The sequence below is a fragment of the Homo sapiens genome, chromosome 2 (genome assembly GCF_000001405.40).
Source record: "Homo sapiens chromosome 2, GRCh38.p14 Primary Assembly".
Lineage (NCBI taxonomy): Eukaryota > Metazoa > Chordata > Mammalia > Primates > Hominidae > Homo > Homo sapiens.
The window spans coordinates 30,571,381-30,595,196 of record NC_000002.12 but is presented as its reverse complement, the minus strand read 5'-3'; the positions used below and the strand labels follow the sequence as shown (position 1 = coordinate 30,595,196).

Below are 23,816 nucleotides of genomic sequence, written 5' to 3'. Positions count from 1 at the left end.
CCTAGAAAGAAAAGAGGTAAGAGACTGGAGAGTTTCAGTGATAAGAAATGGGTATGAACCAGACAACACAGGGAAAACTGATTCAAGTTTCAACGAATAAAGGATACATAATAAATCTCTTATTCACAAAAAGGCTATGATTAAAATTAATGTTTAAAAAACATAAATGAGAAGGAAAAGAGGTAAAGACAAAACCAATAAAGTCAACAGGCAATTATTTCTGGAGACCAGAATAACTGAATGGGATAGGCTTTAGGCATATGATTTATTGGGAAAATATAGGTATATATTAAAATAATGCTTATTTTATACTTGAGTAAAATATTTGAGGGTTATACAGCAAGATTCAAATGTAGCATAAACTTTGTAGATGCCTTAAAAAATATCCAATAAAATCTGCTTGGTTGTTGTTTCCTAGAGAAGTATTAATTATGCATTGTTTCATTTAAATTAACCTGGAACTCCTGAGAGGAGAACAGAAAAAAAGATTACAATTTTATACATTGTGCTGAGATATAAGAGACCCTCCCACATAATAGTTAATCCAATAGTGGTAACTGGCCACTTTGGTGTAAACACCTGGAAACTTTGGTTGTGAAGATGTGTGTATACACACATACACATGCACATACACACAATTAAAGGAATCTTAGTCACGCAGAGCTAAATGAAACAGCAATAAAACTTGATGCAAATTAAGAAAACAAACCAAAAAAGAAGGAATTCATAAAAGACCTCTAATCAAGGATCACACTCATCTAATCAATTCTCTAACAGAAGCAGATACTTGATAAAGGAAGTAGAATAAATGCTTGGAGGAGACTCTAGGTGGTGGGTGTATGGGTGTTCGCTGTAAGCCTCTTTGAACTTTGCTATACGTTTGAAAATTTTCCCATTAAAGTATCGGAAAAAACTATATGAATCAGTAGGATTGAATATGGAGAAACACATGTATTCTGTCAGGAACAAGTTTATGAAACTTGATTTTTTAAAATTTTTATTAGAATAACATATAGACTAAAAATAACATAGATTAAAAGGTCAAATAGCACAATAAAGCTTATAATGAAAAAGAAAAGGCTCCTAGCACATCTCTGAGTTTCCAGGCCCTAAAAACAAGTGTGAAACTATGAAAACTTTATTAAAACATAAAACCTATATTACATTTCTTATGTAATTTTTTTAGTGTATAGGTGGAATAAAATGAATTGGGGAGTCAGTGGAATGATAAAATTTTAGAATTAGAATTTTACATGTCTTTTTTTTTTTTTTTTGAGACAGGATCTCTCTCTGTTGCTCGAGGTGGAATGCAGTGGTGCAATCACAGCTCACTGCAGCCTCCACCTCCTGGGCTCAAGCAATCCTCCTGCTTCAGCCTCCCAAGTAGTAGGGACTACTAATTAAACCTTTAATCTATGGCCATTCAATACCAAGAATAGGACATTTAAAAGCTCTTTAAATGGATTAATTAGAAGAGAAACTATTTTCCAGTTCATATTTCTACAAGAATCTTTCTTACTTCAAGTATAGTTTATTAAAGAAAAGTGCTAGTAGTATTACCCAAAGCAATTTGCAGGTTAATATAATCCCTATCAAAATACAAATAACATTACTCACAGAAATAAAAAACACAATACTAAAATTTGTATAGAATCACAAAAGACCCTGCATAGCTAAGCAATCCTAAGCAAAAAGAACAAAGCTGGAGGCACCACACTGCTTGATTTCAAATTATGCTGCAAAGCTAGAGTAACCCAAACAACATGGTACTGCTAGAAAAACAGATGCATAGATCAATCAGTATGTCAAAGAGATGACTGCACTCTCATGTTTATTGCAGCACTATTCACAACAGCCAAGATACGGACTTAGAACCTGTCTATCAACGGATGAATGGGAAAAGAAAATGTATTCCATATATATAATGAAATATTATTCAGCCATAAAAAAGAATGGAATTCTGTCATTTGCAGCAACATAGATGGAACTGGAAGTAATCATATTAAAATAAGTCAAGCACAGAGAGACAAAATATCTCACATTCTTACTTGTATGTGGGTGCTAAAAAAGTGGATCTCATGGAGGCAGAGAGCAGAATTATGGTTACCAGAGGCTGGCAAGGGAAGGGGAAAGTCGGGAGGGATGTAGAGAAGTTGGTTAAGATGTACAAAAATAGTTAGAAGGAGTAAGTTCTAGTATGGTAGAGAAATTATAGTTAATAATGTATTGCATATATTTAAAATAGCTAGAAGGCAAGAATTATTAATAAATGTTTCTAATGTGAAAAGATAAATGTTTGAGGTGACAGTCCAATTATTCTGAGTTGATTGTTACACATTGTATACAGTTATCAAAATATCACATATGCCCCCCAAAATACATACAACTGTTACATATCAGTAACAATTTTTAAAATAAGTGTTAGTAGCAGATTGGTAAATAACAGGTCCTATTGGACCTACTTTAATAAGTAGATGATTATTTGTAATCAATGTGTAACTAAATATATTTAAATAGATGCTACTAAAATGTATGTAATGGATTAAACAATCTTCAGCAGTTTTAATCAAATTGTTACTCTGCTTAGCAACTCTGTCTTTGAAATAATTATATGATATCTCAGTTCAGTTTTATAAACAACATAATTCATTTTCAATCGAGAAACTGACATTAATAGGACTTTACTATACATTAATATATCTCTTTTTTTCTTTAGACAGGGTCTTGCTCTGTCACCCAGGCTGGAGTATGGTGGTGCAATTGCAGCTCACTGCAGCCTCGACCTCCCAAGCAAGCTCAAGCCATCCTCTCACCTCAACCTCCCGTGTAGCTGGGATTACAGGCATGTGCCACCATGCCTGGCTAATATTTTATTATTTGTAGAGACAGGGTCTCCCTATGTTGCCCAGTTTGGTCTATGAATATTAAGTTAGGAAAGAAAAATAATGCTTTCCTATCAAGTGAATTGGTTTTTCAATTTTCCTTTCCATGCCCGAGTTTTGGTTCATTTCTTTGATGTTCTGTCAGTGTCTTTCAAAGGTGCATGTTGGAATATGGGAAACAGATTGAAGAGGGCAAAAAGGTTGACAGTATCCATTCATTCACATATATGGAGTGCTTAGTAAGTACCAAGTCCTGCGCTAGGGCTGGGATCACAAAGATGAACAATACCTCTCATGACATTAACAGTCTGGTAGGGGAGGTAAGCTTGTAAATAAACAAATTATTATACTATGTGATGAGGACAACAGTGTAAAAATGTAGAAGATATAGGAACATTCAAAGGAAGGAGTGACTAACTATGGTAGAAGGCGTGAGGCAAGAAAGTTTCTAAGAAGGGCAATAACCAAGCCAATTTTCAAGGTGTATAGGTATTCAGCTCTGGACTAGATAGTATTTGAGGCAAAGGGATAAGCAAAGAAAGCTGAAATGGTGTGCAGGGTGTTATTAACTGTTCACCTGTCTGTCTCCCTTAATAGACTGTGGGCTCTAGTCTATTAGGGAAGACATGTCTATGTTTTATTAACTTTGGTTTTTTCAGAGCCTGGTTACAGCAGGTGGTCAATAAAACTTTGTAGGAATGATTATTCTATCAGTAATATAACACACATAACATGAATGTATAGAACAGTTGTTTCTAAGAGTTGGAGACAATAATTTAAAAATTAAACATACTACTTTGTTTAAAGTCAAAAAAATAAATTCTAAAAGCACTCTTTCATTTGTTGACCTTAAAGGATGCAACATAAATATTGTACTTAAGGCCAATGCTAAACTCAAAGCTCAGCAGCTGAAAATTATCCTTAAACAGTTCATTAGTAATAATTTTGGTGATGTATGGAACACTACTAGGGTGGTCTCGGTACTGAGCTAAGCTCTTTACACAGAAGTCATTTGTTCCTGACAGTAATCCCGAAGCAGGTATTTTCATTTTACAGATGTGATGGGGTAGTTTAGCAAGTTGATCACTATACTCTAGTTTGGAAAGTAACATTATTTTCCTCAATAGCTATAACACTTAGTTCCAATTTCAGTTATACAAACTGATTTTCTAATGCCCTAAACTGCAAAAGTCACAATCACTATACTCTAGTTTGGAAAGTAACATTATTTTCCTCAATAGCTATAACATTTAGTTCCAATTTCAGTTATACAAACTGATTTTCTAATGCCCTAAACTGCAAAAGTCACAATACATATATCAGCTCTCCAATTTTACCTCGAAGTTGAAGGACTGAAGAGGGAACATTTAGGACATCAGAACAGCTTTGATGTTACAAATCATGCAGTGTATTTCATCTGTGATATCTAGTCTTGGCTAGGCATTTCTTTGCTGGTTATTAGTACTTAGTATTTATTTTAATGATATTTAACGCCTTTGAACTTTGTTTTATTTGTGTAAAAATAAAGTAACCTAGCCCTTTTCCTTGCTCAAGTATCAGAGTTTTCTATGTATATTTAATATATTTCCATGCCACTACCTGCTGCTAAATAATTAGTTTCTGAAACTCTTACTGAGTTTCAAACAGTGAAACATAAGATGATCTGTTTTAATGTCAAGTTTCCATTCCAAAGTAAATATGTAATTTGCTTCTTCATTTCCGTCCTCCCTGTAAAAGCCATGCCTCATCACTCCCAGAATATAATAATAGATATACATATAATATATATATATATAAAATATGTCCACCTTCACATAAGAATGGGTAATAAATAGGTTTACTACCTTTTGGTAGGGTAAATAAAATCTTTTATTCCTTCTAATTAATTCTTCACTTCTTTTTATAAATCAAGTGATTTCCCTGCCATCTATAAAGTTGTTTCAGCTAGGGAATAACTAATCAACTATTGTTTCCAATTTCAAAAAAAAAAATCTATCAAAAGCCCTAGTTACAGTATTTTAAAGTCAATGATGGAAGTTTAAATAGCTGGCAAAAATTATTTTTAAGTGATATTTCAAGACACATCTTCACTCACAAATGTTCTCAAATCACTAGGCGTTTATTTAAAATGAAGGCCTTTCCTAAGCAGAAGGATCCAGAATTCTTATGGACATAACAGATTCTAAAAAACTTCTCTAGATAAAGTCTGAGTAGAATGATTATGTAAATGAAAATGAAATGTACCAGAAAGGCAACACTGAAGGCAGACAGATGTCCTTGAGTAAGGAGACATGATTATCACCTCTCTTTCAAAACAAAATTCCATAAAATAGAATTTAAAATGCCATACAGAAGGAAGAAAAACTTAGTCTAAATCACCTCTTGGATGCTTTGATTTACCCTTTTCAAACAATGGATGAATGGAAAAAGAATCCTGGCCTGTTACTAAACATTGGTCAAAGACATGAGTAGGAGCAGCAGCAGACCCAAAGAAAACGAACTAAAAGATTAGTAGGTAAAAGTTCACCACTCATAATTGGATACTTTAATATGCTTTGAATATCAAAGATAAAACAGACACCATTATAAATAAAAGCTATCTGTGTGTATACACATTTGTGTTTTTCATTTGCTTTTCAAGAAGATACGCCATGTACTAAGTACATTCAGTTCACTCCAATAACATTAGTGCTTAAAGACACCTCATCAACAGTTTTACAACTTAGGAATCAGATGAACAGGAGAAAGACATTCTTACTCTGTTGTATGTCTAATTTACATTTTCAGTAGGCAAGTGTCCCTCTGGATGACAGCAATACACTGTCCTGTTTCTCTCCTTTTTTTTTTTTCCCCTCAACATGACATCCTTCAGTCACTCTCCTGATTTAGGATAAACATACTCGTTATCCACCTTTTTCTCAATTCATCCAACTGAAAATAAAGTCAGCATCCAGCTATGGTGGACAGTACTCTAACACAACATCCTAGAGGAACTATTGTAATTGTGTCATATACAACTCCCCTACCAAAGAGGACACATTTTGTTCTCAGTAAAACTAAACATGGAATAATATTTCAATTGGAAGACATTATCTAATATTTAAAAAAATGTTTTGTCAAGTTTACTGTCATGAAAGAACTATGTCTGTAGGAATTCCCAAGTGAACCTAACTGGAATTTAATATCTGATGAACTGGAAAGCAGGCCAATTTGCTAATGGATCAATGCCAAATAACCAATTTGCAGAATTTACAAAATGTACTCTTTACCAAAATCTTGTCCATCAAGTTGATAGCAATTCATAATGTTAAGATTTTTTTCAATAACCTTTGAAGTTTTCTGCAATTTTATTTGACTGGATTTCATTGTGTCTTTTATTAATTCATTACAGCTGAATAAAACTAGGGCAGAAAGTGGCAGGGCGCTGTGGCTCATGCCTGTAATCCCAGCACTCTAGGAGGCCGAGATGGGTGGATCACCTGAGGTAGGGAGTTCAAGATCAGCCTGACCAGCATGAAGAAACCCTGTCTCGACTAAAAATACAAAATTAGCCAGGTGTGGTGGCACGTGCCTGTAATCCCAGCTACTTGGGAGGCTGAGGCAGGAGAATTGTTTGAACCCGGGAGACGGAGGTTGCAGTGAGCTGAGATCGTGCCATCAGTACAGGCTGGCTGTACTCCAGCCTGGGCAACAATAGTGAAATTCTGTCTCAAAAAAACAAAAAAACAAAACAACAACAACAAAAATAACAAAAACAAAACTAAGGCACAAAGAGAAGAGGAGAGTTTGAGGCCTCAGAGTCTGGTTAGGAATTCTGGCTCCTAACTGCTCTAACAATATCTGCAGTATAAATTTTCATCCACTCTCCTCATCCCCATGTATGTGCATGAATGATATGGCAGTGAGGAAGAAGCCTCTGAAAAGGATGTTTGGGGGCACAGCCACATGAGCAGAAACTGGTAAAAAGGACAGGAGAGGAGAGCAAGGTGTTTATCCCCAAGGATATGGTCTGAGTCCTAGAGAAAGAAGATTTGAATTAAAAGCTGAAGGAGGTGAAGAAGTGCTTCCCAGGAGGGATCTCCTTCAGGACAGAGAGAGGCCAGAACCACTTGGCCCTTGGAGGGTTGAAAACGTCAGGAGCACACAGAGCCATGCCCTAGGCAGCGAAGCAATGTTTCTGGCCTATACAGCCAGCTATGAGGTGACCTGATCAAGGTGGCTTCCTCACATGGATTTTGCAAGGAAGGCTTCTACCAGAGGGTCAGAGCTCAGGAGACAGAAATACTTGGAAATTATTGTTGGACATTTGGGGAGAGATGCTGAAGTTTGGCAGCTAGGCTGAAGAAGGCTTCCAGATAGGACTTTTTGGTATTATTATAATCTCATCTGTATCTTTAGGCTAGGAAGACTTGGGGACATTTGGAATTACTACAACACTTAAAGACTGGTCAATTATCTTTTAATCATTGATCTTGGATAAAAATCAAATTGTTCTACTTCCAATAGAGTTCAACTATTTGTCTAAGAGGACAGCTCTTAAAAAAAAAAGGTACCATAAACAAATGAGTTATTCATACTAAAGATATTGTTAGGAAAGAGGAAATTATAAACAATTCAAGTTTTGCTTAACTTTTACAATGTTCAGTTTCTTCTTTCTCTTATATTACAACTTCACCATCCTGTTGTCTTTGAAAAATCAAATTAGATAATAAGCCTATTTTTATAAACATAAAATCCTTATAATGTTACAAGAGGACTTGTCAGACTTCAGAACTTCAAAAGACTAGTTTAATGCATCAAAGTCTGTATCTTCAGATCTTAGGATTTTAAATTCAGTAGCGCTCATGTCTATTTAAAGTTTCCCTAGAGTGCTTTTCTATTTCTGAGAAATTTAACAATAACAAATAGTTACCAAAAATAATCCCTTTGAAATTACAGTAACCGCATGAGAAAGATGTTGCGTCCCGCAGTCTCAACATCATAAAAAAAAAACTACCATGTTTAAATAACCACAAATTGCCTAGAAGTTCTATTAAAAAAGAGAACAGAAGATTCTTGAAATCTCAGAAAATTATCAAATATTAGAATTAAAAGAGATCTCAGAAGTCTTCTACTTCTGTCCTTTTCACTAGTTCTCCCTAAGCTGGTCTCAAGGCAGAGAATGTTTCTAGAGGAAGGGGGTGTCCATTAGGATCAAGTGTTAGTGACAGAGCAAGAAAGGACAAGGTCTGGGATTTACCACAAGGTGGTCACTTGAGAGTGTTCAGGTTTAGCGGAATCTAAGAGGTAGAAGACTGATCACAAAAAGTTTTGAAGTTATTAGGGAATAAGGGTGTGATGACAGTTCATCAACAGCTCTTCCAAGAAGTTTATATCTGAAGCAAAGAAAGATGTAGTGTAGAAGCTTGGAGTAGGGGTGCATGGTGAGGGGGTTATAAAAAGTGTCCGTGTAGTTGCATGGTTTTTTTTAAGTCTTTTTTTCCTTTTTAAAGACTAAAGACATTTGAACAATATTAAATGCTGACAATAAGGAAGGATTGGTAAGTTAGAGCTTAAAGATAAGAGACACAGGGACAAGATGTTGAGGATGGGCAGAGGAGGCTTGAAATTGCTACTGCAGAGAATGGAATGGTTGACTAGGGAAACAGAAAAATGGTCAGCCAGCATTGAAGTCAGCAACCGTACTGTGTTGAAGAGTGTCTCCCAATTTAATGTTTACTGGAACCCCAGAATGTGACTTTACATCTGCAAAGAACCTATTTCTAAATAATTAGTTAAGTCACAATGATGTTATAGTGGATTATGGTGAGTATCATGAGTGGTATCCTTAAAAGAAGTGGGAAGTCACAGGGCAGAAGGCCATACAAAGATGGAGGCCATATAAAGACTGGAGTCATGCTGCCATAAATCAAGGAATGCCTAAGACTGATGGCAACCAAGAAGAGGCAAGGAAGGACTCTTCCCCAAAGCCTTCAGAGGGAGCGTGGCTCTGCCAATACCTTGATTTCAGGTTTCTAGCTTACAGACTGTGAGAGAATAAATTCCTACTGGGTTTTTTTTTTTTTTTTTTTTTGAGACGGAGTCTTGCTCTGTCACCCAGGCTGGAGTGCAGTGGCGCGATCTCGGCTTCGCAAGCTCCGCCTCCCGGGTTGACGCCATTCCCCTGCCTCAGCCTCTGGAGTAGCTGGGACTACAGGTGCCCACCATCACGTCTGGCTAATTTTTTTGTATTTTTTTAGTAGAGATGGGGTTTCACGTGTTAGCCAGGATGGTCTCGATCTCCGGACCTCGTGATCTGCCTGCCTCAGCTTCCCAAATTACAGGCGTGAGCCACCACGCCCGGCCATTCCTACTGTTTTAAGCAACCTAGTTTATGATAATTTGTTACAGCAGCCCTAGAAAATTAATACAGCAACCAAGAGTTTATTTGGCAGTAATCTGCATGGTTTAGGGGATTTTCTCCAGCAGAGCTAAATGCTAGTACAGGTATAGAGAAGGCAAGCAGCAGGCAAGACCCAGGAATGCACTTCTGCTGACTGTGTGCCACCCAAGAGCAACAGGGATAAGGTGTTCAAATACTAGCAAGAGTTTGGTTTAAACAATGGACCACAGAGTATAACCGATAAGAGAGAAAAGCATGAACACAGAAGGATGATTATGGATAGGGAAAAAGCATAAGGGTATTAAGGGAAGAGAGATCTTAATGAGAGTAAAAACAGCCTAGAGAGTGAGATGTTGCAATTTAACGTTTAACAGGTGGAGCAATTCCTGAAGACAAGATCCAAACTATGAAGTAGTGTGAATAATGAGGAGATCATGGAACTGGCATGAGTTATCATGCAGACGGTGAACTTACCTAAGAATGTGGCTAGACTAGAGAGGGAATGGAAGACTGAGCCAGGTGCTAAGTCTCCCCTCTCCAGTGAAATGAAGGCTGAGGCAGAGGATGTAGTGAAGGGTTGACTGATTTCTGAGAGAGGTAAAAGTTGCTATATTTAGATGACAAAAGGCTCAAAAAAATGTTTTTTGACTCGGTATTTTTTTTTACCGAGGATGGATAAATCAGAGGTAAATTAAGAACATTATATGGTAGTGAGATATGAGAAAATGAACAGCGCTTGAGAGGGAAACAAGGAAGAGGCATGGAGTCAGGAGACAGCTATGTTTTAATGAAGGCAATAAGGCAGATAGCATGGTCAACACAGAGGTAGTTTGAAAAATGAGCCCATCATCGTGATGATCAAGATTATTTCTCATTTACCCCATAGAGACTGTAACTTGGCTACAACATCACTCTGATATATAAAACCTTACCTCTACTCATGTCCTTTAGGTAAGCCTAGAGGGTTTTTTTTTTTTTTTTTTTTTGAAATATAGTAATATTGGTTCCTTATCAGGGCAGCAAGTGGTTCTTCCACTGGCAAACTTTTCCGATCACCCAAATCACCGGCACAAAGGAACATTGTTGGAAAGATCACTGATGCTTTATGATGTGCTTGAGACATCACTGAAGAACATAAAACTTTTATATTAGTCTAGAATATAGCCAGTTTTTATGGATTCTAATTATTACAGAGGCCTGATGGCCCTGAAGAAGATAAAAGTTGGACTAACTGCCATCATAGAACATTTTTTGCTAAGCTGCATCAGTATCTACAACCAAGTTTTGCTACTTAGAAAGCACTGTCTAATTATACACAGACAATAAACTAGAAAGAATTACAGCAAGAAATCCAGAGAACCTTCCAGGATATTGTCAGAGTGTGGCCATACACCATCAAGCTCTATACCATACAAAGCAGTGATATTCTTTAACCCTCTTTAAGACTGTGACATCTGTACCTACCATACACATTATATCTTGAATGAATTCATTAAAGTCAACAAGAAGCCTTCCTTATTATTAAAGCCATTCTAAATGTGATTCAGCCAGCCAGAACAGTTAAGAACAACTGCAACAACAACAAAGCTATTTTTGGCTAGATGCATTGAGTGCGGGTAAAAAAAGGAAGCAAGAACAGGGTAGTCAACAGGCTAACAGGGTAGAGAAGAGAGGTTCACGCATGTAACTACAACACTGAGGAATCTTAATAGACATACAGTTAAACTGCTACACGGATTCAGAAAAAGAAAAGACCAGTTTGGCTGACGGGATCCAAGAAGATGGCCACAAATAGAAATAAAAACAAACACTGCATGTTCTCACTCATAGGTGGGAGTTGAACAATGAGAACACATGGACACAGGGAGGGGAACAACACACACCAGGGCCTGCTGAGAGGTGGGGGGCGAGGGGAGGGAAGTTAGAGGAAGGGTCAACAGGTGCGGCAAACCACTTTGGCACACGTATCCCTAAGTAACAAACCTGCACGTTCTGCATATGTATCCTGGAACTTAAAAGGAAAGAAAAGAGCCCTTCCCTTATCTTCTTGTTTATTTCAAACATTCCCACCTAATTCAACATGAAAAAAACCAAACCAAAGCAAATTTAAAATCCTGAGTGGCTACACAAACACCACATATAATATACATACCAATAATTAGAAGCCTGAAAAATCCAATGGGTAGAAATTTAACAGTATTGGTAAAGACTGCCACAGAAATGATGGCAGCTCACTCGTCAAGATTCATTTTCTTCTTTTCTCTCCATTTGCTATCACTTAATATAATACACTGGCCAAATTCGGACAATTTCAGCAGATGGACCTGGAAGCTAAGGGTTTTATCTTTTCCAACCACCCTTCCCCAAGGTGAGAGTATGATGTTTCAGCATTATCTTGCCAGACAGAAACTGCATTGGGGGTTGTGGTGGGAAATCTGTTTACAAGTGGATGGACTAAAATACTGAAACAGAAAAAAAAATCAAGTATGTGCTTTTTAGGCCTTGGGTAAGGACAATGGCAGCCAGAGGACAACACTGCTATTGTGGTGATGTAGAACACTATTTTTGGATGGCACTTTAATGAAACAACGAAACCCATGATCTTAAAGTTTACAGAAATGAAATTTGACTTGTAATTGCTACCTATCTCTATTCCCAAGATAGCAAAAGAGGCAATAGATGCATCTGAGAAACTTCTGGTTTAGCTCCTCAAATTGCAAATTAAGATCTAAATACTGAGTTTTATTTTAACAGTAAGCCATACTATCATCCTTTTGATTAATACCCAATAGCTAGTTATATGTGTTGGCTAATTTAGCTTATCTTAAACTTGTGTGCCAACACTTTAAATAAAAACACTTTAAATAAAGAGCTAATTAGAGTATAAAATAAAATGAACTGGTTTATAGTGCAGAAAAATGGTCAGCAGAATACAAAGATCTGAATTATTAAAAGTTCTGAAGTCATAAAAGAGGATGACCTTTATAAAAGAATAGCAATCTGCTTCAATTTATGTAAATGTTACAAGCTATTAGCCAATGGAACTTAAGGCTGCATAAAAGGTGAGAATTCTCAGGCATATTCCATCATACTCTGTGACATCTAACATTCCCATTTTCTGTAATTGCTGCCTCTTTGATGTTTTCATCCTGAGTTTTCCTCTCCTAGCCAAACGTTATAGGGCCAATAGAATATGATGTTGCACTTGGTACACAAAGTTCCCTCAACATAGCACGGTGAGTCAGTGAGTGAGAAATAAACTAAAATAAAATTTAAAAGGAAGGCTATGGGGATGAAATTTTTAAAAGGAATCTGGGCTTATGATACATTATGGCATTTACATCCAAACTATTAGAAAAGTTGCTGTAAAAGCTGCATAATAAGCAAAGTTGGACAACAGAGATTGTGCTTGGCATAAGCTCCTTACAGCTAGGAGAGAGCAAATAAGCCAAATACAAAATATCCTGAGCCACCAAGTTAGGATAATCACCTACAAATACAATCACTGCCATTGTGAAGAGGAGTTATATATCCTCATAAAATAATATTCTTCAAGGTGGTGCCTGTGGGTTATTAGCCTCATAAAGAATTCTGACAAATATATTCCTGTAGAAGTTCACTGATCTCATATACAATTTGATTGAAGTATATCTGTTACATTCATTAATATATTCATTCAATATTTATTGAACAATTTAGCACCATTGCCATGGGAGGGGGGCAGGGGCAGGGGTGAGGAGAGGGGGAAAGGGGGAAAAGGAGAAACAGAGACTGACTGATTCAATGCTTTTACTTTGGTTTTAGAAGCTCCTTGACCCAAAGGAGCTTACACTCTAGTATAGAGGAAAAAATATATTTTCTAATTAAGTGATTATTCTTGCTTTTTAGTATTTTTAATTGACAAATAATTGTACCTATTTATGAGGTAGTGTGCTATTTTAAGATATGTATGCAATGTGTAATGATCAGATCAGTAACTGGCATATCCATTACCTCAAACACTTACTTCCTGTGTTGAGAACACTGAAAAGCTGCTCTTTTGGCTATTTACAAGTATACAATCAATTACTGTAAATTATAGTCACCCCACAGTGTTATAGAACACTATAATTTATTCTTCCTATCTAGCTGTGCTGTTGTATCCATTAACCAACCTTTGGCTATTTCCCTTCACTTTTCCAGCCTCTAGTAACCACTATTCTACTCTCTACTCCTATGAGATCAACTTTTAAAGCTTCCACATATAAGTGAGACCATGCAGAATTTATCTTTCTGTGCCTGGTTTATTTTACTCAACATTATGTGCTCCAGGGTCATCCATGTTGCTGGGAATGATGAGATTTCATTCTTTTTATGGCTGAATAGAACGCCATTGTATATACTTACACACCAAATTTTCTTTATCCATTCATCTGATTATGAACACTTAGGTGGACTACATATCCTGGCTATTATTAGTAGGGCTGCAATTAACATGGAAGTGCAGGTGTCTCTTCAACATACTAATTTCCTAATCACCCAGAAACTGTGTGAGTCTTAAGATGGGTTCAACTGTTGTAGAAGACTGGAGGGGGACTGACAGGACTTCCAGCTGAAGAGATCAAGAAATGATCTTCCTGAGATAGGCATAAAGGAACAGGGGTATCTAATCAAAGGCAGAAGAGATGGGAGTACTGCAGGTGGTGGGAAGGAGTGGGCCACTGTGAGGCATGTCAAGTCACCACTTTGGATGGAACTTAAGTAGAGGCAAGAGCCCAGACTGGCTCTGTAGTCTGAGGTTTGAGAGCTCAGCAATGCTCTTAACTTGGTTTTGGTCAGCTTCCTTTTCTCATTTACCACAACAACTATTCCAAACTCTGATTAATCACCTCCATCCCCTTGTAACCCCACCATCATCAGATTACCTAACCTCTGATCTGACAGAGAGCACAGGGCCTTCCAGCAAAGCATCCCTCACCTTCTCACCACCTACTCCCAACCATAAGATACTATTTTGGGGTAACTATGATGATGCTAAAGCCAACAGGTCTTATTTTATCTTAGAACAAGTAGTAAACTGCTTAGGAAGATAATAAACTCTCTTAGAATACTAAGAAGGGAACGATTTACTCACCAGGCTTGGAGTATTTATAAAGTCAAACAAAAATATATATTCAGCTGAACCTTGCCTCCTGCCTTACAAAATGAGGAGTCCCTCTTAACCTGATTTCTGCTCCTATCCTCTACTGATTTCTCAGAAAACTGCTCCATTGTTAATCCTTTCACGTTCAGCTGTTCTTCTACATAATCTTCTCAGCATTTAAAAATGCTAAACTCTTCTATTCATCCTTGAGGCAGCTTCCCCTTTCTGTTGTCTACACCCCAGCCCTCTCCGCTTCATCAGGAAACTCCCTGTAGCAGTCATCTAAACTACATATCTCCACTTATATCACTCTTCACTTACATTTGGCTCCTGTTGCCTCGTTCCTGTGAAACTATTCCCTCTCTAAGGTCATCAAATACATTATAGTTGCTGCACCCAAAGGATACTTCTCAGATTTTACGTTCAAAGATGTTACTAGTACCTAAAATCCAGATAAACCGCTGATACCTTAGACAGCATATATCCATTTCAGCCTGTGGATATCCAACCTTACAAATAGGCCAACTATGCTGGAAAAGTTTGATTCAGATCAAATTGATATTTGCAAGTATAAAATTACGACCATTTACAACCATACACAGAAAAGACAAGATTTATTTGTTTAAGTCCCAAAACCATTAGTAAAGACACAGACATTTCTCCAGAGTTTCTTTCCTAGAAAACATCTTTGTAATTGGGATGAATCACAGTCTTTTCCTACTATATGCCATCATATAGTCTGTAAATACCTCGCTCATGGATCAAAGGAGTTGTAAAAAACATGAGGTATAATTACTTTTACTGAGTCTCTTTTAACTGAACATAATTCATGCAGAAGTCTCAAAATAAGATACTATTTTGGGATAACTATGATGATGCTAAAGCCTTATTCTAAAGGTCTTATTTTATCTTAGAACAAGTAGTAAACTGCTTAGGAAGATAATAAACTGTCTTAGAATACTAAGAAGGGAACAATGTACTCACCAGGTTTGGAGTATTTATAGTCATAAATACTAGAACTTTCACAGTTCCCACTCTTTCTAATTCCCTTTCTTTTCTATACAGTTTGTTAGAAGTGAGACTTCATGACAACTAAGACTACTTCTCTAACTTAGTTCTTGCCACATAAAAAGGCTGGTCTCCACTGCTGAGTAACCCTGACTACACTCTCCCAATTTCTTTACCAATTCAAATCCTGCCATTCCTCCAGATCAAATTCAAAGTCCTATTCCCTAAATTCTCTTACTCTGCCAGCCACCACAACTGTTTTCTACTCTGCACTTGTATGCTGTTTCTGTGACACCGGATCATATACTAACCTCCCAAATTTATGCATAAGGATGTGTTTGTTATACATTTTTATTCTGATACTGTCACTAGTATGCCTTAATCACATGATATTAACTACAACACATAGGACTTACAGAAGATTCAGATTATATGCATTTACGACAAAGACATTTTCTTAAAAATACTTAAATATAAACACCTTTAATGTATACAGCTTTAAAGATAATATGTACAGGGCAAGCTTCTCGTAACATGTTTCTCCTTTGCCTAAACTCTATTAATCTATCAAGTCTAAACAAAAGTCACAGTATTTCCTGTCAAGTCTTTCTTAATTTCAGTTCTTACCAATGTCCATCCCTAAAGTTTTAAAATATAAGCCTTCATTAAAACTAATCTAGGCATATAAGAATGGCTACTGTCTCCTTGAATTACAAAAGGAACAGGCCAGGTGCCGTGGCAACAGAGACCCTTTCTAATGAATTTAAGTAAATAAATAAAAAATAAATATGAATGAATGAATAATGGAACCAACATGGTAAAGATGCTTTTTACTGATCCAAAAGGTTATTAATAATTTCCATAACTAAAATTAATTGGTAAATTATTTGGTAACTTCATTTGGATTTAACATTATGAACTTGTTGTGGTCATTAAGACACTAATGTGAATGAAAACAAGTAAATCTTATAAGCTAGAAAAAAAGTGTTCAATTCTTTTTAGGCACTATGGATTACAGATTATGAGTAATTTCCATGTACTCACATAAGGAACAGTATGAAGTTCCTCTTCTGAAACATATCATGGTCAAGTTGGTAGATCTTCTATAATAATGACATCTAAGATCAGTCCGCAAAAATAGGAATTTGTTTTTTAGCTTTGAGAGGTGCTGGTTAACTGAACGTAGATCTGCTACCAATGAGTGACAACTGTGCCTAGAAAAGGCACTGACTAACACTTCTTCTACTTTAAGTTAGCTCATTACCACTGTAAGTCACCAAGAACTTAATGCAATGAGAAAAATACAGGAAAGACCGTTTTGCCTTAACTTCTAAGGAGATCAGTGCTAAGGCTCATGTTTGACTAGGAGCAGCTTTCCTCAGCTTGGCTAACATGCCTTCCCTTCAAGCCCTATGCACACACATACTTTATTACCTGACTTTGGCACACTGGGCCACATTTCACTTATTATCTTCTCCTAAAGGCCATTTAAAATTCTATGACAAAACAAGGAAGATCTAAGTCATAAATAAACTATGAATATACAATAGGAATTTAAAACTTTGGTAATGCAGTCTCACAAGTTATCAGAATTTCTACATGGAACCCCAAATTATTTTCAGACTACATTTATACAATGCAAAATTAATCCAAAGCACTCAAAGATTTTGGAGAGGAAATCTGTCACTTCAAAGAAAGTGGCTGTGAACCTAGAGATAAGACAAACAACTATCTACATAAATTTCTCACATTTAATGTCTAAGAAATTGTGTGGCAGCCTCACACTTTCAAAAAGGCAAAGTGTTTAAAAGTTTACAAATACCCATGTAGTGTATGTAGATTATTTAAAAATGTTATATATAGTAAATAATAAGGAATCACAGACAGATGTTTACTTAACAATACTCAGATATTTCTTAGTGAAAAATATTTCGGCCATCAAAATCAGGCAGGTAGCATGAACAACAGAGATAATGGCCATGGTCAAAGACAAAGAAGAAGAAGAAGAAGAAGAATAGCACAAATATGAAGCTAGCTGTCAAGAGAGTAAAGACAGTGATTTTTTCCCCAAGGAAAAATATTAAAATGAAAAGATGCAACACATTGTAGATTACTGTCTGTTAGTGTATTATAATCAAATCAGACTATCACTGGAAAAGGTACTTCATAAAACAAAAATTGAGAAACAAATGTAAATCAGCAGTTTCATTTTAATTTCCCTTTTAAGTACCATTTCCTATGAAAAAGAGATGAGTGAACCACAATGAAATTATGTGGATTAAGTTATTAATTACCACAAAATAAAACACTTAAAAATATGCATTTTGTGTACATATGCACTTCTGATAGATTCTCAACATCAGTAATCTTACCAAGTAGGATAATCCTTGGAATTTACCCCATGTGGCCGAATGCAATACTCTTGTGTGGAGGGAGTGAAAGCCACTGAGAACACTTAAGCTTTACTCTCCTACATAACTTCATTAGGGGAAGGCTGCTGATTTAGAAGTTACTGACATTCTTTCAACGTCTTACACTTTATGCAGTGCCGAGTAGCCAACTTACGATAAATGAACCTGGACTAGTTTTGCTCAGCCCAGATTCTATGACAAGGTGAGTTTGCATGCTTTTTAGCAGTCAGATATGTATAGGGAGCCTATGTGACAAAATATATATAATATTATTACATGATATATTAATATAATTTTATATAACATATAAAAATATAATCTATGCAAAATAAAATGGAGAAAACTACTTTCATTTAGAGAGCTATGCAAATAATTTTCAACATTAATAAGTAAACAATTTCTGTATTTAGTTTCATATTTTTTACAAGTGAGGTATATGAATTTGGTTTTGCATGTGTACACACATATACTCCAGCAAATGAGTACTGTTTTAATATTACTTTGCAATACTCAACACAAATATCAACTATGAAAAAATGCAAAAAAAGGTTCTAATAATTAGAAAAATGCAGACAGAATATTTTGAATTAGGAAGAAAAAATCTATAAAGCTAAAAGAAAAGGCACAGACTTTATAAATAATGAAATGGACACATGTCAACAATAAAGAAGAAACAAGGTAAACCTTTTTTGGACAAACCCAAAAAAGAAGCATATACATTCACAATGAAACTGCATACTATATAAAACCAAAAGGCAGGCATAAGCTCCTGTTAAGATGAATTTCTGGATTCAAAGGTCCACAGGGTTTAGACTCAGGTCAAAATCTCACCTTTGCTGAGAATTTTGATTTTCATATGAACAGGAAGGTAAAGTATATTGTTACATACATTTTGCATACTCACTGAAACTTATCTTCTCTATTTTACTGCAAACGAGATTCTAAGTACATAAACATGTAGTGCCCATCTGCCACACAATGAGTAAATAGTATTGACACAGCTACTCACACCTTCAGAAGTTGTTTTCTATCTCTCACTTTTGCCCTCCAATGGGAAACCGACAAAAATATTTCAATGTATGTAACAATATTCTTTATGGTCAGTGTAAAGTCTACCGAAAGTCATCACTCAAAGGCAATTCCACAAATTTTACTCACAAAAGCTGCTTCCAAAATTCTGAATTTTGAAATAAACACATTTTGTAAAGGTCACAGTTATCAGCATTTTTCAGTGTGTCATTCTTAAAAAATATATTAAACATTATACAGGGCACCAATATTTAGGCACAGACATGCCTTATGCATGAGTAAAATACAACTGTATATAATTTTCACTCATCTATGAAAATGATAATCATCTAATAAAGAACATATATTTTCAAAATTTTTTATTAATGGTGCCATAAGACACGCAGTAATTATAACCTGGACCTACCTTTCACAATAGTAGGCATTTTTATAGCTGGCTAGTGTTAGAGAAATAGTATATAATAAACCCAGGGCAAAATTTTTCTCCTATTGAAGTCAAGTGGTACAGAGAGACACGAGGTTGCAATAACTATCTGTTTAACACCATATTAGAATCTGAAACTCACTGAGATACAAATAAAGGAAACATTTAATTAAGAACCACATTTCCATATTGAATTTTACATGATCACATGCCAAGACCTTATTCATTTAAGTTACCAATAACGTGTTTCTGTAATTCTCTTCCAGTAGTATACATAATCTAGAAAAAAAATGTACTCTTTTATCCTCCGGTAGTTAAAAAAAGAAGAGAGTGTCTTAAGATAGTTATTACCTGCTGTGCATCTGCCTCAGGTGGCCCTCTGGCACTGCCATAAATCTCATCTCTGTTGCAATGAAAGGACTCCATATAAATTAAAATCTGTAAGTGTGATCACTAGACTGAAGGGGGTGGGAAGAATTGCTAATCAGATGTGCATATGTGTGTATGCGAGAGATGCTAAAATTAGGTCATCTTTAAAAATTTGTACCAAACTATAAATTTATTGAGTACCTATAATATTCCTGGCATGGTATTAGGACCTCAGATATAAAAACAAATACGGCACAGTATCTCTATCCTAAAGGAGCTCAAGTCCAATGAGAGAGATGGACAAAAAAAAAAGGCCACCAAAAAACTACTGGTTATTAACAGAAATGTATAGAGTATGATGAGAATAAGAAGAGGGAACTCCAATAACCTGGAGAGGTCAGAAAACTGTTTGAAGTGGAAAAAACACTTAAGCTGTCTGGAGGAACCAATGGGAGCTAGCCAGATGAATGGGAACAGTTTGGGAGAAGACACAGTCATGTGTCCCACATGACTGGAGTGAAGAGAGGGCATGAAGTCACAGCAATAAACAAGACCAAAAGAGCCACACAGACTAGGACCTGAGCTTTCAACAATGGTCCACTTACTATGTGCAAGCATTGCAGAGGATACGAAAAACACATACTCCTCATTGTTTTCTAAGGACATGCTGGCAGACCTCTGTTTTGAAGGAGGCCTTCCATTCATGTGTGAAATCTCAGTAAGCTCTTCAATTTCCCTTAGTCTGACTCCTAGATCCACTTACTACTATAGCTCTTGACTCTGCAGCGCTTCATGACACAAAGTATCTGTAGAACAGATGCCTTACAAAGAATAATCAAACTCAGTGTGAACTAATTGTCATCCAATCCTCAGTGAGTGACACTTTTTATGGAGAATCGTCTGAAGGACATGCAGTCTACCCGTACCTTTAGAGTTGAGACACTCTAAATCCATATAGAGTCTGAGTGTTTTGAGCTTTTATGAGACTGCTCTTTCTCATGTAATGGAATGTGTTTATTCCATTAGCCAACATGGACAACCATGATGAGGCTATGTGGAGTAGTTCTAAAAAGTTCATTATATTTCCCATAAGGATGCTGTTCAGGATCTTGGTCATGAAATGTACAATGTGCTCTTTGTGAAGAGCCATGGGAGATATTTCAAGTCTTTCAAAAATGCTTCTTCTAATCATCTGGCTTGCTTTGATCTTATAAACACTGTCAATAATACTTTGGTTTCCTTGTATAAAAGGTACAGAAAGCTCAGGGACAATGTTTGGACTCACATTATAAAGAAATGTAGAAACTTATAACATGTTTTGTAATGTAACTTCACATCTAGTTTTTAAAAAATTTACCCCTATTTTCCCTTACCTTGATTTCTTCTCTTACTTTTGGTGCTGCTATTATTATTATTATTATTTTTTTGAGACAGAGTCTTGGCTCTGTTACCCAGGCTGGAGTATAGTGGTGCAATCTCAGCTCACTGCAACCTCCACCTCCCAGGTTCAAGCGATTCCCGTGCCTCAGCCTCCCGAATATCTGGGATTAAGAGGTGTGTGCCACAATGCTTGGCTAATTTTTGTATTTTTAGTAGAGATGGGGTTTCGTCATCTTAACCAGGCTGGGGCACTGCTATTATTATATGATACAAATTTATGTTAGCCATTTTAAATCTTTATTGGAACACGGTATAAAATTACATTGACCAATTAGTTGATAGGCTCAAAAAATTTGAAGGGTATCTATTATTTGCCAGGCCCTGTGCTGAAGGCTTGAGAAAAAACAGTGAAGAAGATAAACAACTAAACAAGTGATACTATCGTAAGAAAAATTTACATATAGCTAGTAGGAAAAGCATTCATATAGGGAATATAAAGCAAGGTACCCAACCAAGCCAAAGAAAATCAGGAAGGCTTCCTGGATGAACTGTTATCTAAGGTGACATCTTAAGAGGATACCGTGGGGAAGGCTCAGCACACTGTGCAATCTGGGAAAGAAGTGTGGTTCAGTAAGGCTAGAACAAATGGTACAACTAGGGAGACAGGAGATACAGCCAGAGAGGTAGGTCATAGGAGGCCTGGGTAAATCATGTTAGAGTAGATTTAACCTTGGAATTCTGTGAGACCTTACTCCAGTACCTGGATACCTATCTCAGTGTGATGCCACCCTCATTTAGAAAAAGGCTTGACTCTCTGGCTACAAAGTGGAGAAAGGACTGGTTAAGTCAAGACCAGAGCTAGAAAGTCCAGCTGAGCAGCTGTATGATAATTCAGGGAACATACAATGAAGGCCCAGACCAGTATGGCACTGCGAATGAAAATAATTAATTTGAGAGATCCTTAAGGGGTAGAATCAAAAGGCCTTGTTTGGGATTTCACAGCATGTGAAAAGCAGAGGGGGGCGGGCCAACAATGACTCCCAGGTTTCTGGCTTGCACAACAGTTTCTTCTTTATTAATTTTCCAATTTTTAACAGTAAGTACATTCTGTTTTTACAATTAAAAACCTATTATCTATTTTTAATAAAAAATGAACCAGTATTGAGAAAAATCAAGTCATCAAGCTACTTCTGCAATTTGATGGCAAAAAGAAAGAAAACGATCGAACCACAATTTTTTTTCCTCTTTCAACCCAGGCTCTGCCAGAGAATGAAATCACAATTTGAAAGGACAGATAGTTTGAATGTCATTTTTTTTTAAAGATTAGAGAAATGGAGGAGGAACTGGTAAAGGCAGGAATCAGAAAAATAAAAGAGGCTTACAAAAAGAAAATCCTTTATATATATTTTTTCATTTAAACAGAACTCACAGTAGAGCCAAGGATATCAGGGAGAAATCTTGGAAATAGAAAAAAAAAACCTACAAAGAATAATTTTTTTTAGCATTTGAAAAACTGTAAGCTTCTTATACAGTGGAAAGAACATGAGCACTGGAATCAAAAAGACTTGAGTTTAAAGTTCCTCTGCTCAGCAGCAGTATGACCCTGTGAAAGTTGCTAAACGGAGCCAGGCTCCACAGGTGCAGCACAAAGCAAACTACCACCTAGCTTAGGTAGGAGAATTAGGGGATACGTATGAATGGTGAAAGAAGTAGCTATGAGTCTAGGTCCCCATCACCAGATTGATTCAATAGGTCTGAGCTTGGACCTCAGTATCTGTATTTTTAAAAAGCTCTATGGTTGATTCTACTGCATGGGCAAGGTAAAGAAACGTGCACAACTCAATACCTGGTACATAAGAAGAACTTGATAAGTGTTAGATGGTTGTTTTTAAGTACATAGATAGGGCTTCTATCCTTTTTCATTAAGGCAATCATGACTTTTTTCACTAAACACAAGAAGATCTGTCCTAAATGAGCAGCTCAGATTTTTCGCTGGAGGGAAAGGGGGCGAGGTGGGCAGTGACTAAAAGGAACAAAGAAACAATATGAATTCCCTTTATGGTCTAAAGCGATACCATGGCATTTGAAAATTCAACATGAAGAGACATCAAAGGTCTCTGACATGCGGTCATGCATACTTCTCCTGAGGCAAATTTGAATAATTTCTGCTTCATGATGTGCAGGTCACCAGGTCACTTAGGTGATCCAGGTGCTTATCCACTCATCAGTGTACAAATCTCATTTAGGTTTTGTTGCACTCTATCATGTTCCTTGTAAAATGGCCTCAAAAGAAAGTCAGCTACTAATCTACAAAAATATTTCCAAAATTGAGGAAATGGAAATTGTCTCAGAAAATATTCTAGCAAATGTCAAAAGTCTACTGTACAACCACATCTTATTTAACATAACGGAAGGTCTTATCCAATTTCATAGTTTCCAGCAATAAAAGGCTGTATGAAAAGGTCTGAGTGCATGATATATAATGCACCCAGTATTTCAGTAATTTGTCTGTCTTTCTTCCTTGCCTCCTAAAACATGCTGGCTGTTCAAAAGGGTAACTGAAATGCCACCCTGGGAGAGGCTTACTATTATAAATGCAATGTGAGCCAGAGATGGGTTTCTGTTGGTCACCTTTAGTCCTCCACTGTAGGCAGTAGACAGACTGGACTGTTAGCTAGTTGTGCAGTAAGCAAAAATCTAAGAAATTAAAATAGTCGAACAATGCTACTGAAGACTAAGCTGTCTATGATTGGTATATTGCTTTTATTTCCTAGGTAGCTATCAACTTTCTCAGAGCACATGAGAACTA

General features: G+C 36.4%; 1 protein-coding gene across 10 annotated transcripts in view; it reads right to left on the bottom strand.

Annotated features, from left to right (window-relative positions):
• Positions 1-23,816, bottom strand: part of LCLAT1 (lysocardiolipin acyltransferase 1) — a 196,980-nt gene that overhangs the window by 49,029 nt on the left and 124,135 nt on the right. The window lies entirely within an intron of this gene.